The 14,378-nt window shown below is 41.8% G+C and overlaps 2 long non-coding RNA genes across 3 annotated transcripts in view, besides 1 other annotated feature; both read left to right on the top strand.

The window, feature by feature from the left end:
- Nucleotides 1-1,926, top strand: part of LOC105373358 (uncharacterized) — a 34,222-nt gene extending 32,296 nt beyond the window's left edge. Inside the window, exons 3-4 of the long non-coding RNA XR_001739247.2 lie at nt 1,320-1,485; nt 1,600-1,926. This is a non-coding gene — a long non-coding RNA (uncharacterized LOC105373358). The remainder of the gene's footprint in view (nt 1-1,319; nt 1,486-1,599) is intronic.
- Nucleotides 1,927-6,893: 4,967 nt separating this feature from the next.
- LOC105373479 (uncharacterized) lies at nt 6,894-9,556 on the top strand. Of its 2 annotated transcripts, XR_007086154.1 has the most exons (4): nt 6,894-7,148; nt 7,757-7,950; nt 8,460-8,682; nt 9,525-9,556. It is a non-coding gene; the product is annotated as an uncharacterized LOC105373479 (long non-coding RNA). The 2 variants fall into 2 exon arrangements; XR_001739249.2 differs by lacking the exon at nt 9,525-9,556 and having other exon boundaries at nt 8,460-9,097.
- Nucleotides 8,317-8,816: an enhancer, noted in NCBI's record as "H3K4me1 hESC enhancer chr2:690095-690594 (GRCh37/hg19 assembly coordinates)". NCBI's record gives its function as "activates a minimal SCP1, AML or CMV promoter by ChIP-STARR-seq in naive H9 embryonic stem cells {active_cell/tissue: H9 hESC(naive)}" and the evidence as "EXISTENCE:reporter gene assay evidence [ECO:0000049][PMID:30033119]".
- Nucleotides 9,557-14,378: the final 4,822 nt, after the last annotated feature.

Raw genomic sequence — 14,378 nt, 5'->3', positions numbered from 1 at the left:
ACTAATCAGAATAATACTGGTCTAGAGAAATTAGCTTAGGACAAAGGTGACTTCAGAACAAGAAAAAATATTCAGAGATAGATCGGGGCAGGACGGGGCATTACATGATAGATGGTTCAATTATTCAATAAAGCATAACAATAGTAAACATGGACATACCTAACAACAGAGCATCAAGTTATGTGAATCAATACTCAATAGGACTGAAAAGATAGAGAGACGAATCTACTACTACAGCTGGAGAATTCAACACCTCCCCTTCACTAACGAAGAGATACGACAGGCAGAAAATCAGTAAGGACATAGTTGAACAGAACCTGAACAGAACCATCAACTTGCTCTAATTGCTGTTTATAAAATACTCCATGCAGCAATAGTAGAATACACATTCTCCAACTCATGGAACATTAACCAAGATGGACCACATGCTCGACTGTAAAACACACCTTAAAAATGTCAGAGAACACAGCATATGTTCCCAGATCACACTGTAATTGACTGCAAATCAATAGCAGAACAATAGATGGAAAGAAAAAACCCGAATATTTAAAGGTTAAACAGTACACACTTAAATACACGAGTCAAAGAACTTTCAAGAGAAATTTTAAAATATTTTGAGCTAGATAAAAATGAAAATACAACTTATCAAAATTTGAGGGATGTAGTGAAAGCAGTACTTAATGGAAATTTATGGCATTAAATGCACATCATAAAAAAGTAAAGATATAAAATTAATAATCTAAGCTTCCGCCTTAGGAAGAAGAAAAGAAGAGCAATTTAAGGCCAGAATGATCATCTGGACATGGATTAGGAGTGGAGAAACCAGTGTGCATTCATGTGGTCCTCAACATAAGTTCCATAAAGAAATATTTATAGAAATATGTATGTACATGTGTAGATTCCTGCTCTGTCACTCACTAGGGCTAAAAGCAATGACAACCCAATATCAAAGATAACATGAAATACCCAGATCTTTGCTTCAATTGCTAATCTCCAGTAAAAGGAACCAGGGCTCCCCAGAGAAACTGTGGATTCTAGGAGTAGAACAGGAAATAGACAAGGTAAGCTGGGGGCACCTTGTAGTGCTAGGAAATTAATAACTGCTGAAAAAATAAAAATGAACAGCCACATTGCCAGGGCACGTCAGGGCCACAGGAGCCAATGGAAAGATCTGGCCTGCAACTGAAACTGGAAAGATTAAACAATAATGATAACAAAAAGCAGCATTGGCTCATAATCCAATTATAAAATAAATACCTATGAGTTTATCGTGATATGAACTAATGGGTAAATATTTAACAGACATATCTCTCTTGCAGAGGATTCCAAATAAAGTTGCAGACTCCATGTTCTTAGGGGAAGAGAGCGTAACTCCCGCTGCTTAAGTGAAGCCCATGCATAGTGACTTTGCTCCAGTGAGTCTGGAAAGCGGGACAAGGGAGTAACTTTCCTGTGGAGAAACCTGGCAGAGGCCACGACCGCCAGGTGAGGCGGGTGATTTAGTGATGAGTCATTGACAGAAGGCTCCTTGGCAGGGTGTAATAAAAATAGCACTTTACTTCTATGGTCTTCTTCCCCAAATTCCATAATCCCAATCAGATCATCAGAAAAACCCCAACTGAGAGAAATTCTACAGCATGCCTGACCATTACTCTTCAAAACTATCCCAGTCATCGAAAACAAGGAAAATCTGAGAAACTGCCAGCAGAGGGGGGTCCAGGGAGATGTGACAGCTGCATGCACAGCGGCGTCCCGGATGGGGTCCTGGAACAGAAAGATAACATCAGGTTAGCAACTAAGGAATCCCAAATAGGCTATGGACATTAGTCAATGATTACTATTACGCAAACATATGATCATTATGTCAAGATAGGGAACAAATTTCCCATCTTGTCAAATAATTTATTGAGCATATTTATCAATTGTTAAGTCTGTCTGATAGCCTTGTTTGATTTCTGATCTCCTGATGTTTGATTTTGATTGAGATTAAATGTCCTGATTGTGGGGAGTCAGTGAAGTCTCTGTGTGTGCTTGGTGACATCTGAGTGAATGTCACATGATTGTGTAAATGATAGCAGAGATAATGGGGGGCTCCGGATGATACAGTCTTTCCCCAAAGCGGAGCCATTTGACGCTGGCTGGTGGCCCAGCTAGAGGCAGATGACGCCTGCTCACCTAGGGACTGAGGTCACCCAGCTGTGTCTCAGCCTCTCTTTGAGGGCACCCTTCTTCTCACTAACCCGTGCTTCTGGGGGTCACATGTGGAGCTCCAGCTTCAGCCCCTTGAGATTAAAATCAGTTTCTGTTCCTCTTCTCTCCAGGGCCAGCCTCCACTACATGCCTGGCCACACCAGCCATCAGGGATTTGGTCTTTATGGGGAAAGACAGGAAGAGTATTTTAAGACATTTAAAGTAGAAAATGTTTTTGGCCTTGGGGAAAATATTAAGGCTCTGAGAAAGAAAAATAGCCTTAGATTCCTGATGACACTGACTTCCCAAAAATGGCAAATGTTGTGTGGAGAAGGAGAGAGATCTTCCCTGTGAGCTGGCAGGACAGTCATGGGGGCGATGCCTTGGATGCAGTGTGAGAAGTTGGTAAATTCTGTGGCACACACCAGTGATTTGAACAACAGTTTATGGCTCTCTACCCTCTCTCTTAATTTTTTCTTTACAGTTTTATTCCCTCTGGTTCATAGTACCCTTTTTTCTAAAACTAATGTGATTTTTGAAACAACGGATGTGATAAACCAAGATTAAATTATGTTCCCAAATTTTAAAAAAGTTTGAGGAGAAAGTAGTTTCATAATCAATGTTTGATAAGCACAATTATTTTTTAACATGTAAGACGATACCAACTTAAATCTAGACAGTACATTAAAGTTTAAAAGTTCAGTTTGTAGGGGTGTATCAATAGTTAAATTAATAATTTAAAAGTCTTTTTATTTCTGGCATAATATTCTATTTTTATTTTCACTTGTAAAGCATACTGTAATTTTGTATGCAGAATGTAAGGTGCCAATACCTTTGTTGAGTTTTGAAAATATTTATTAAGGAATATCAACATATAAAATTATCTTCTAAATAAGCTTTATGTTGATCAATAATTTCTGGATCAAATTAACTTTAAGCAAATGAGAAATATGTACAGCTGTCACAGTGTAATAAATTAAAAAATGATCATTTCATCAATTTGAGTCAACTAGCTATTTTCTGCAAAGTTTATAATGTACAGAAGGTGGAAGATGCATGTCTGATACATTTCCTGGGAATAAATGTATCATCTCTGAAGCTATTATGGCTCTAATAAGGAACTCCTCATGCTTGCTTTGGAAATCCCACTTAAGATGAAGATAGTTTTTTCTTTCCTCCAGTGTGATCAGCAGTGCTGGTAATTACCAGGCTTCTCATGCCTGTTTCTAACAGACCAACACTTTTCTAGGAAGCGCTAAGCAACTTGAATCTCACTCCTGGAACACAAGCCCCAGCCACATGGATAACAAACATTTATCCTGTTTATATGGGAAGTCATAGGAACACATGGTTTCCTAACCTGGACATCAAGGTCTTTGGAGGAATCTTGTAGCCTGTTCCTGGCAGCTTTCTCTCCCCTTCTTCCTAGGCCACCAGAGCTGGCATGGAGCCCAGTGGGAAGGTGGCATTTCTGCTCAGCAAGCAACTAAGAGAAGCCTGCCCTTGGCAACAGAAAGTTCTAACGAGGACCCAGGTTTTTAGACAGCTAGAGTCTCCGTGTTTCTTCTGATTGTGGTAGGAAATAAAGCCAGGAAAAATAAGTCTTTATAAAAACAGCATGGGTGTTTTTGTGATAGATTTCCAACGGGTAAAAAAGGGAACTACGTTAGAAATGTGAGCCTGGCAAGAGGGAAAAGCTGGCATTAAGGACCTGCCGAAATTCTAAATTAACTTTCTTTTCTATGCCAGAGTAAATTTAAAATAGATATATAAAAGTCTGTTTCATTTATATTCTTTAGTGAAAGGCAAATATACAAGCAAAATAAAATTTAAAATACTACTATTGAATGAACAATTTGAATACCACTATGAAGTAAGGCATAATAGATTATTGAAGAAAAGGAAGCCTGGACCCTCCTGTAAAGTAAACGGAGGAGGCTGCAGAGAGAAGGATGTCTCACCGAACTGCAGGAGAAAAGCATAGCCCTCCAGCAGGAAATGGAAGATGGTGATTTCAGGATATTTGTCAGCTAAAGCTTTCACAAAACAGCTTTATGCAGCCTTTTGAATAAATGCTCTGCGTGGTTGTGTGGAGGAGATATTATTAGAGGGCCTGAACTCTTAAAATAATGAAATTGAGCTTACTGTAAATTTGTAGAGGTAAAGGAAATAAAAATATGCTTCTATAAGTTATATGGGAAAGAGAACTTCAAAATCAAGAGAGAGAAGTTTTAACTTCCTTAGGTTTATTTGTTTAGGTTCTCTTGTGGAGGTCGGTATTATTACACACTACGTTAAACATCTTGCACAGAAAAACAAAGTCAGCATATTCTCTGTCAGCCAATGGAAGAGAGTGGAGTAAACCAGTAATTCCTTAACACACATGCTTTAAAACAGCAAACTATTAGACACAATGTGGAGTATGTTTATGGTCTGTTACATTTTATGAAATGGTTTTGTTTATTTTTAAAATACTTGTCATGTTAGCAATCTCCTGATAAGATGGTACATTTAAAAGCCCAGAACAAAACACACATGGAATAATCATCTTCTCTAGGAGCAGGATAGAAATAAACCCAGGCTTTCTGGTTTATTTCTATCCTTTCATTAATGAAATCATTACAATTTTGTTAGGTCTAATTCAAAGACCAAGAAGGCATTTGGACGGAAAATAAAGGGAGCAAGTTTTGTGTCTTTTTAATGTGTTTTCTACAGCCAGGACCAAGCCCTTGAAAGCAAACTTCGACAAAGAAGTGTAATTTCATAATAAAAGAAAGAACCCTGTAAATACCTAATTCCAGACTTTCCTTTGTCATAAAGTCAGTGATCTTCATGCACCCAATCTCACATACAAATTCCCATTTCTTACGTATAACCCCTTTCTATTTACTGATGAGGTCATCTCCTGATGTGGTTAAAAATATGTGACTCTGTAACTATGATTTTTCTCATAATGAAAGTGAGATGCAGGACAAGTCAGCTATTATTATGGGATATATACAGATGTGCTGGGATGGAGTCCTCCACAAGAAATCACGGGGGCAGAGCACGCTCTTAAATCTCGGAGCTTCTTACCTGAGAATGTTGATTCCGAGTCGCTACAGTGGCTTCCAGGAGTTGTCGACTTTTAAAAAATTGGGTTCCACTATTCCAAATCCTGGTCTCCTTCTTTGTTGAGAGAGAAGGAAGGCGGATGGCAAGCATGACGTGCGGGCTTCTGTAGGGGCTCTTGCTGTGGGGTAACCCTTGATAAAATAAAAACTTCAGCCAAATTAAATTTAAAAGTCTTTGAGCAATGAATGAATTGCGAATCAGTCTGCCTTCTGAGTCAGAGTAGGTTCAGAGGCTCCAGCACAACCATTTGGTTGGAAGAAGATTTATGGACATTGAAGGGACATTGGATTGGTTATGGCTCAGCATTTGCCTTATTTGAACACAGTTTGAACAGTTGGCTATGTTTGATTGGCCGAAACTCAGTGACTGGCACAAGTGTAGGCTACGGTCTACTTACACCTCTCCTTGTTATGGTTCATGATGTGCAGAAAAACCTTTAGGCCGAACTTAAAATATGTAAGGAGGCAGCTTTAGGCTAAACTTGATTTAGCACCCTCAAGATACCCGAGTCTCTTGCAGATTTGAGTCAGGATGGCTTCAGCCTAAGGAAGAGCTTGCTGGGCTCCTGGTAAGTGTGGGAGGCTGGAGGAGCCGCTGCCTGGGGTAAGTGTGGGAGGTGGGAGGAGCCACTGCCTACAGGGCACAGTGTGTAGGTGTCCAGCTGAATCTTCTCAGATACTGTTATGGGATTGCGGGGGTGTCGTTTTTCTGGCTGGAAACCTCTGTGGCTGGTGGGGCCTTTGCCTGAGTTTTGCTCTGGCCTGCTGAGCTCTTTTCGCCCACCCGGCCTGGCAGGCTGCACTTGGCTCACACTACCAGCCTCGGTAGTTGAGAGGGCAATATTGCACACCTGTGACTCCGGGTGGTATTTTCCCGCCAGCCGGTGCCGCAGGCCCCAGAGGCCGTGGTGTCAGGAGGGTCATGGCACAGGGGCTGTGTGGGGAGGTTCTGAACCATGGAACGTGGGCAGAAGTGGTGTAGACAGTGTTAGGCCAGGCCCTTTCCACTTTCTGTACCATCTCCCAGCCCTCTTCCTCCTATAGAGACAGCCGTGAGAACCTCGGGAGGCCAGGCAGACCCAGACTGGATGTGTCATGAGCCAGAAAAGGCATGACGCCACTGAGACCCCGGTCTTTCTCTGTTTCCACAGCCAATATAAATTACCCTCAGCAAGACGACACCAGGGAGAAATGCTCCCACCAGGCACAGAAATGGTTCCGGGGGCTAGAGATTGAGATGGTCCCCAGCCACTGTGCAGTTCTAAGCACTTCAGGGCCCACAGAACAAAGGGGCTAATAGGGGGCCCAGGTGACCATGAGAGAATGGAGTTGCTGCTGCCCGAGGGAAGAGAGGACTGTCTCCCATGCCCAGAGGCCCCGTGGGAGTGGTCCTAGCATGCCTGTCCAGGATAAAAGCCAATAGAGGCCCACACAAGCCCCAGGCAGGAGGGACCCCCAAGGGAGCAGCCGCTGAGGATGGAGAGTCCGAGAGCTGCGGGGCTGATGGGGAGCCCAGGGGAAGCGTGGAGCAGCGTGTGAATTCCAGCTGGGGCCCCGGCGCGGGTGCAGGCATGGCCCTGCGCCGCCTGATCTGCGTCCTGATCTTGGAACTGAGCTGGAGAGAGATGCGGGGCGTGGAAAAGGCCAGGGCAGCCGTCCTCTCCCGACTGGCTTCTGAGTGCGGCTGAGACCGCTGACACTGGTGTCTGGCGTTGCTCCTGAAATTCTGACTTTGGAAATCCACCGCACGCCTTTGTGCTTAGAGCAGCGAGCCTGCTTCTGGGTCAGCCTCTGAGCCAGTGTGCTTTACTGTAAGCGTTAGAAACATGACTTCTAACATTACAGGTAAATGGATGCCTTTTCATAAGTTGTATATTTATAACTGTAAATTTGTAACCTATATGACTTTAACATCTATATTTTTGATAATTTAGTTTTTTTTTTTTTTTAAGTGCATGAGCATCTCATTTCACAATGACCTTTGCCCAAAGTAGTCTTGGGTGGACATTTACAGTCAATATAAACACAGTTTCATAGACATTTACGTCAACTTGAGTTATAAATTATTTGAGAAAAATACACTATATAAAAATTAAAGCCAATTTCAAATCTTTAAAATCAAGATATGAAAACTTCCAAATAAATGCCAGAATGCATAATGAAGTAAGTTTGAAATGCTTTATTTAGAGTTTATTAGTCACTAAATCTAAAAAGAGGATAGAAAGTACTCACATTTGGTAAGTAAAACATATTTAATTGAATCAATAAGTAAGATGGTAAATTAGAACCTAAATGTTTTATTTGATTTTGGTGAATATGAAGTATACTGTATCCATTTTTAGATAATTTTTAGTCACATTTTCAAAGTTCTGAGAAAACTGTGAAACATGAGGCAACGCTTTCCTGGGTATCTGCTTCGGCACAGGAGAGTTTATGATTTTTTTTATTTCAAGTTAAAGGAGGAATGATATATTTCAGTGAAGAATCCCAGCTCAACGGGGCTCTTCTGAGAACTGCAGAAAACAGCTCTGGACTCCTCCCTCGGAGCACCCGCCCAGCTTCCCTCTCCTGGCGCAAAACCTTGATGCAAGCGGCGTGTGCCACAGTCCCAGGGTCCTCTGGCTCGTTTGTAAATCTGTCAGCTGAGGTAGTTTTTTGTTAGTTTGTTTGTAAATATGTTAAAAATAGATCCTACAAACAGAAAAACAGGACTTCAACTGACTTCTACGTTACCGTTAAATTTCTTTTCCAAATGCCTTTATCTCCTTTTCATTCTTTTTTATGCTATGAGTTATTTGTTCTCTGAAACAAGGCACATTGCTGTTTACCTTCGTATTCGAGTCTTGATATATTTTTCTAAATAATCTAACCTTATGCTTTTCTCCTATGATAGTTCAAGTTCTATTGCCCAAACTATTTTTCTTTTCATAGCTAAATCATTTGTTGTGAAATTTCTCACTCTTGGACTCAGGCCTTCCTCATCTTGCTTAACATTTTTTGTCTACTGTCATGAGTAAACATGAAATGTGAAAAAGGTTTTAATATTTTTATTCAGAGATCGCTTCCTCAGACAAAACCGTCTGCGTGCTAGTCATTTTGATAAGCGAGTGTCATCGGCTTTTTCTTCTTTAAATTTACATTGAATAAAATCTCCAGGCTACCAACAAGTTCAGAACAAGTGCTGAACGTGGGGGACAGCGCGGCCACAGACACCCAGTGAGGGTGAGTCTTGTCTGGCAGAGAAGGGCGAGGCTGGGACGTGGCAGCCGGACTCAGCTTGACCACAAATCTCTGCCCAGTGAAGGCCGCCATGCCACTGAATCCTGGGAAGAAAGCAACACAAACGCCTAAACTGGAAGGAGTAAAGGTGCCCTGCAAGGTAGGTCAAGGCTTCAACGGGTAAATCTAGGTGGAAATGGATCCCAACCATAGCACGGACCTCACAGGGCAGCATGTGGGGTTCAGCCCAGCCTCCACCGATGGGCAGGGACATGGGGCTCCGGCAGCCCCGGGGCAGAGGAGAAATGCAGCCAGCCCAGGGCCACGTGCTGGCTGAGCCTGAGAGCACCACGGGGACAGCCTCAGCCAGGCACTGCAGCTTCCGGCAGAGAAGCCCACCGGCACAGGTGGTAAAAATAAAGACTGAAGAACCAGAAAGAGAAAGTATTAACAAAAATGCCAGTGATCAACAAAGTGGAAAAATTGAATTTGTGTTCAAAGTAATGATATTAAAAGGCATTTGAAAAATGCAACTGTCAAAAATAAGTTTATAAAATAAAGGACATAATAGAAAACTCATTATAGTAATAGATTTAAAACACTTTATTTTGCTTTCATGGAAATTGGGGGTGATGGGGTTAATGAAAAAATTTAAAAATAAGTATTTTGTCATTCATTTAAGAATGCTAATAAATATTTTACTGTTTAGTAAATAAATATTTACTAAAATAAGAGACAGTGGCTCTTATTTTAGATGTAAATAGTATACAGTAGAATAAATATAAAATGCTAGTTAAAAGGGAAAAAATGAGCAAAGAAAATACTTCTAATGTAAAAGCTAAAAGTGGAAACTTTTGTCTTCACGCTTGTTAATTAAAAAGAGAGCTAGAGAACAAACATTACATATTACATCTTGGAATGTTTTACTCCCACTAAGAAAAGAAAAATACTATCGGGTCAATTCCAAAAATACTCTGAGTAATTTTTTTTTTTTTTTAACAGAGTCTTGCTCTGTCGCCCAGGCTGGAGTGCAATGGCACAACCTCAGCTCACTGCAACATCTACCTCCTGGGTTCAAGCGATTCTACTGCCCCAGCCTCCTGAGTAGCTAGGATTATAGGCACGCACCACCACACCCAGCTAATTTTTGTATTTTTAGTAGAGACGGGGTTTCACCATGTTTGCCAGGCTGCTCTTGAACTCCTAACCTTGTGATCTGCCCACCTCGGCATCTGCCCACCTTGGCCTCCCAAAGTGCAGGATTACAGGTGTGAGTCACCGTGCATGGCCAACTCTGTGTATTTTTAATAGAACAAGTGCTATATACATATTGATACTCAAAACTTCAGCATAAAATAAAGGGGCAAGATATACGTGGAAATTGCAAAAAAGCTAAAGGAGAAAGGTGTGGGGATGCGTTCATTTCCTGTGGCTGCTGCCAAATTACCAAAAACTTAGTGGCTGAAAACAACCCAGACGGCCCCACAGTGCTGCCTGTCAGAAGGCTGAAGGGCTGCACTGGCTGAAATCCACAGGCCACAGGCTTGGTCTCTCTGTGGTCTCCCCGTGGTCCATTTGTGTTCTCTCTGTGGTCTCTCTGAGGTGTCTCTGAGGTCGGCCGGTGGTCTCTCTGAGGTCTCTCTGTAGTCTCTTCAGCATCTCTCTATGGTCTCCTCATAGTCTGTCTGTGGTTTCCTTGTGGACTCCCTGTGGTCTCTCCAAGGTTTCTCTGTGGTCTCTCTGAGGTCTCTGCAGTCTCTCCAAAGTCTCTCTATTATCTCCTCATGGTCTCTCTGAGGTCTCTCCGTGGTCACCCTGTGGACTCCCTGTGGTCTCTCTCTGATTGCTCTGAGGTGTCTCTGTGGTCTCTCCAAGGCATCTCTATGATCTCTCTGAGGTCTCTGTGGTCTTTCCAAAGTCTCTCTGAGGTTTCTCTGAGGTCTCCCCATGGTCAGAAAATTCAAACCACAAATATTGAAGATAAATATCAAATAGTGCTCAATGATGATTATAACCTTGTTTATATATTTCTACTGCCTACATTCATGATTCCTGTGCTAAGGTCTGAATGTTTGTCCCCTCCAAAACTCACATTGAGTCTTAATTGGCATTCCATCAGTATTTAGAGGGAGACTTTTAAGAGGTCGTTAGGCCACAGGAGCCCTGCCCTCATGGTGGGATTAATGGAGTGGTTCTCTCCTTCTCTGTGCGTTCTGCCATATGATGGCACAGCAAGGAGGCCCTTGCAAGATGCCAACACCTTGATATTGAGCTTCCAGCTTCCAGAACTGTGAGCCAATACATTTCTGTTTATTATAAGCTACCCAGTCTCAGGTATTCTACTATATCAGCACAAAATAGATCATGACATCCTATGTCTTAAAATGTAATTTAGGTTTTCCAAATTTCTGAAAATCTTTAAATATTTTTGCTTCATGTGCTCAGTTTTCCATATTTGCTGAGTTTTTATAGGAATATTTCTCCTGAATGTGGTTACTGCCATAAATCATTCTTTGTCTAACTCACTAAATTAGTGGATCCCTCCCAGGACCTCTATTTTGATTTGCTGTGTCCTACAGAGTTAGAAAGTCCCAAGGCCAGCATGTGTGTGTTCCTAGCCAGGGATTCACCTATTTATGGAAAGTAAGCTGTATTTCTTCCCAAGCCAATATAGTTTTGCTTGTCATTATATCATTTAACTAAATTAAATACTAATATTCATAATTCCTGAGTTAGGACTAAATTGAATACTTTGGAAAGATTTGTAAATATTGGAGTCCATTTTGATGAAAGGAAAAGCAAAAATAAATAAATAAATAAATAACTTAGAAATAGCCTATACTAAGATAATTTTTCAAGTGTCATTAAAGTTATGTTCACTTTGAATTGGAAATCTCTGAGAAACATTTTAGGTGAAGTTTAAGTAGCAAAGACTATTCCTACCTCTAGTCATCAACTGATATCAAAGAACGGGAATAGCACCTTTATTTAAATATTGGCCAATTAATAATTATTTGTATGGTATACATTTCTAATGTTCATGATATTGATATATCATTATTATTCTTTTCTGTAAGTGACTTATTGAACTCTGTTTCTAAACATTTTTTGGTACTTTGGAGAGAAGGGAGTATTAATAGGAAGGATTTGTTTAATCCCTTCATCTGTATAACAAACAAAGATGACACTGGATTATGACTTCTTCTGGCCTCTAACATGGGCATTTCATCAACTGCCATGATTTTGCCAAGTGACTATTTGGAAATAATGCCATCTTTATTAGTCTGTTTTCACACTGCCATAGAGAACTACCAGAGGCTGGGTAATTTATAAAGAGGTTTAATTGACCCACAGTTCCACATGGCTGGGGAGATCTCAGAAAACACAATCATGGCAAAAGGTGAAGGGAAGCAAGGCATGTCTTACATGGTGGCAGGAGCAGCAGAGGAAGTGCCGCACTCTTAAACCATTGGATCTCATGAGAATTCTCTCACTATTATGAGAACAGCATGGGGGAAATCCACCCCCATGATCCAATCACCTCCCACCAGGTCTATCTCCTGACACATGAGGATTACAATTCCACATGAAATTTGGATGGGGACACAGAGCCAAATCATATCATTCCAACCCTGCCCCCTCTCAAATCACATGTCCTCACATTGCAAAATCAACCATGCTTTCCCAACAGTCCCCCAAAATCTTAACTAATTCCATCATGAACTCAGAATTCCAAGTCCAAAGTCTCATCTGAAGCCAGGCAATTCCTTTCTGACTATGAACCTATAAAATCAAAAACAAGTTAGTTACTTTCAAGATACAATGGGGGTACAGGCAAAGTAAAGGCTTCCATTCCAAATGGGATAAATTGGCCAAAATGAAGGGGCTACAGGCCCCCATGCAAGTCCAAAATCCAGCAGGGCTGTCATTAAATCTTAAAGCTGCAAAATAGTCTCGTTTGGTTCCATGTCTCACATTGAGGGCATGCTGACACAAGAGGTGGGCTTCCAAGGCCTTGAGTAGCTCCACCTCATGTTTTGCAGGGTTCAGCCCCCACAGCTGCTCTCAAGGACTGGCACTGAGTGCCTGCAGTGTTTACAGGTGCACTGTCAGTGCACTCTCATGCTGCTATAAAGAACTGCTCAAGACTGGGTAATTTATAAAAAAAACAAAACAAAACAGCTTTAATTGACAGTGCAAGCTGTCAGTGGATCTGCCATTCTGGGATCTGGAGGATGGTGGCCACCATACCTATGGTGGCCCTCTTCTCACAGTGCCACTGGGCAGGGACTCTGTGTGGGGGCTCCAAACGCACATTTCCCTTCTGCACTGACCTAGCAAAGCTTCTCCATGAGGGCCCCACCCCTGCAGAAAACCTTCTGCCTGGACATCCAGGTGTTTCCATTCATCCTCTGAAATCTAGCAGTAGGTTCCTAAACCTCAATTCTTGCCTTCTGCACACCGGCAGGCCCTACAGCATGTGGAAGATGCCAAGGCTTGGGCTTGCACCCTCTGAAGCCATGTCCCAAGTTGTACCTTGGCCCCTTTTAGTCATGGCTGGAGCTGGAGTGGCTGGGATACTGGGCACCATGTCCTGAGGCTGCACAGAGCATCTGTGCCCTGCACTTGGCCCACAAAAACACTTTTTCCTCCCAGGTCTCTGGGCCTGTGATGGGAGGGCCTGCTGTAAAGGTCTCCAACAGGTCCTGGAGACATTTTCCCCACTGTTTTGACTGTTAACTTTTGGTTCCTCATTACATATGCAAATTTCTGAACGTGGCAGCTTGAAATTCTCCCCAGAAAATGGGTTTTTCTTTTCTACCACATAGTGTCAGGCTGCAAATTTTTCAAATGCTCTGCTTCCCTTTTAAACATAAGTTCCAATTTTAGATGTTCTCTTGTCTCTAATGTATATGACTATATGCATTAGAAACATCCAGGTCACATCTTGAACACTTTGCTGTTTAGAAATCTCTTCTGCCAGATACCCTAAATCATCTCCCTCAAGTTCAAAGTTCCACAGATCTCTAGGGCAGGGGCAAAATGTCACCAGTCTCTTTGCTAAAGCATAGCAAGAGTGACCTTTACTCCAGTTCCATGTAAGTTCCTTTTCTCCATCTGAGATCACCTCAGCCTGGACTTCATTGTCCATATCACTATCAGCATTTTGGTCAAAACCATCTTCAACAAGTTTCTGGGAAGTTCCAAACTTTCCCACATCTATCTGTCTTTTTCTGAGCCCTCCAAACCTCTGCCTGTAACCCAGTTCCAACGCTGCTTCAATGTTTTCAGGTATCTATAACAGTACCCCACTTCTGGTACGAATTTTCTGTATTAGTTTTTTTTTTCACTCTTTTATATAAAAAACTACCTGAGACTGGGTAATTTATAAAGAAAAGAGGTTTAATTGACTCATAGTTCTGCATGGCTAGGGAGACCTCAGGAAACTTACAATCATGGTGGAAGGTGAAGAGGAAGCAAGGTATGTCTTACTTACATGGCAGCAGGAGAAAGAGAGAGAGTGAGGTGGGAAGTGCCACACTTTTAAGCCATCAGAATTCATGAGAGCTCACGAGACCACCATGGAGGAAATCCTCCCCCATGATCACATCGCTTCCCACCAGGCTCCTCCCCTGACATGTGGGGATTACAATTTGACATGAGATTTGGGTGAGAACACAAAGCCAAACCATATCACCATCCAAAAAATAAAGGAAGCAGCACTGTGTTTTCCATTTACATTACATCAACATGTGCAGAAAATATTTGTAAATAAACAGTGTTGGTCTCATGAACTAAAAAGAAAAGAGATAAAAAGAGGACCCCCTGAGGACAGCAAGATAAACACCTTCATCT

Source organism: Homo sapiens, chromosome 2 (genome assembly GCF_000001405.40).
Source record: "Homo sapiens chromosome 2, GRCh38.p14 Primary Assembly".
Taxonomy (NCBI): Eukaryota; Metazoa; Chordata; class Mammalia; order Primates; family Hominidae; genus Homo; species Homo sapiens.
Note: the sequence above shows the minus strand (reverse complement) of the source record. Positions and strands in the feature narration are given on the sequence as shown.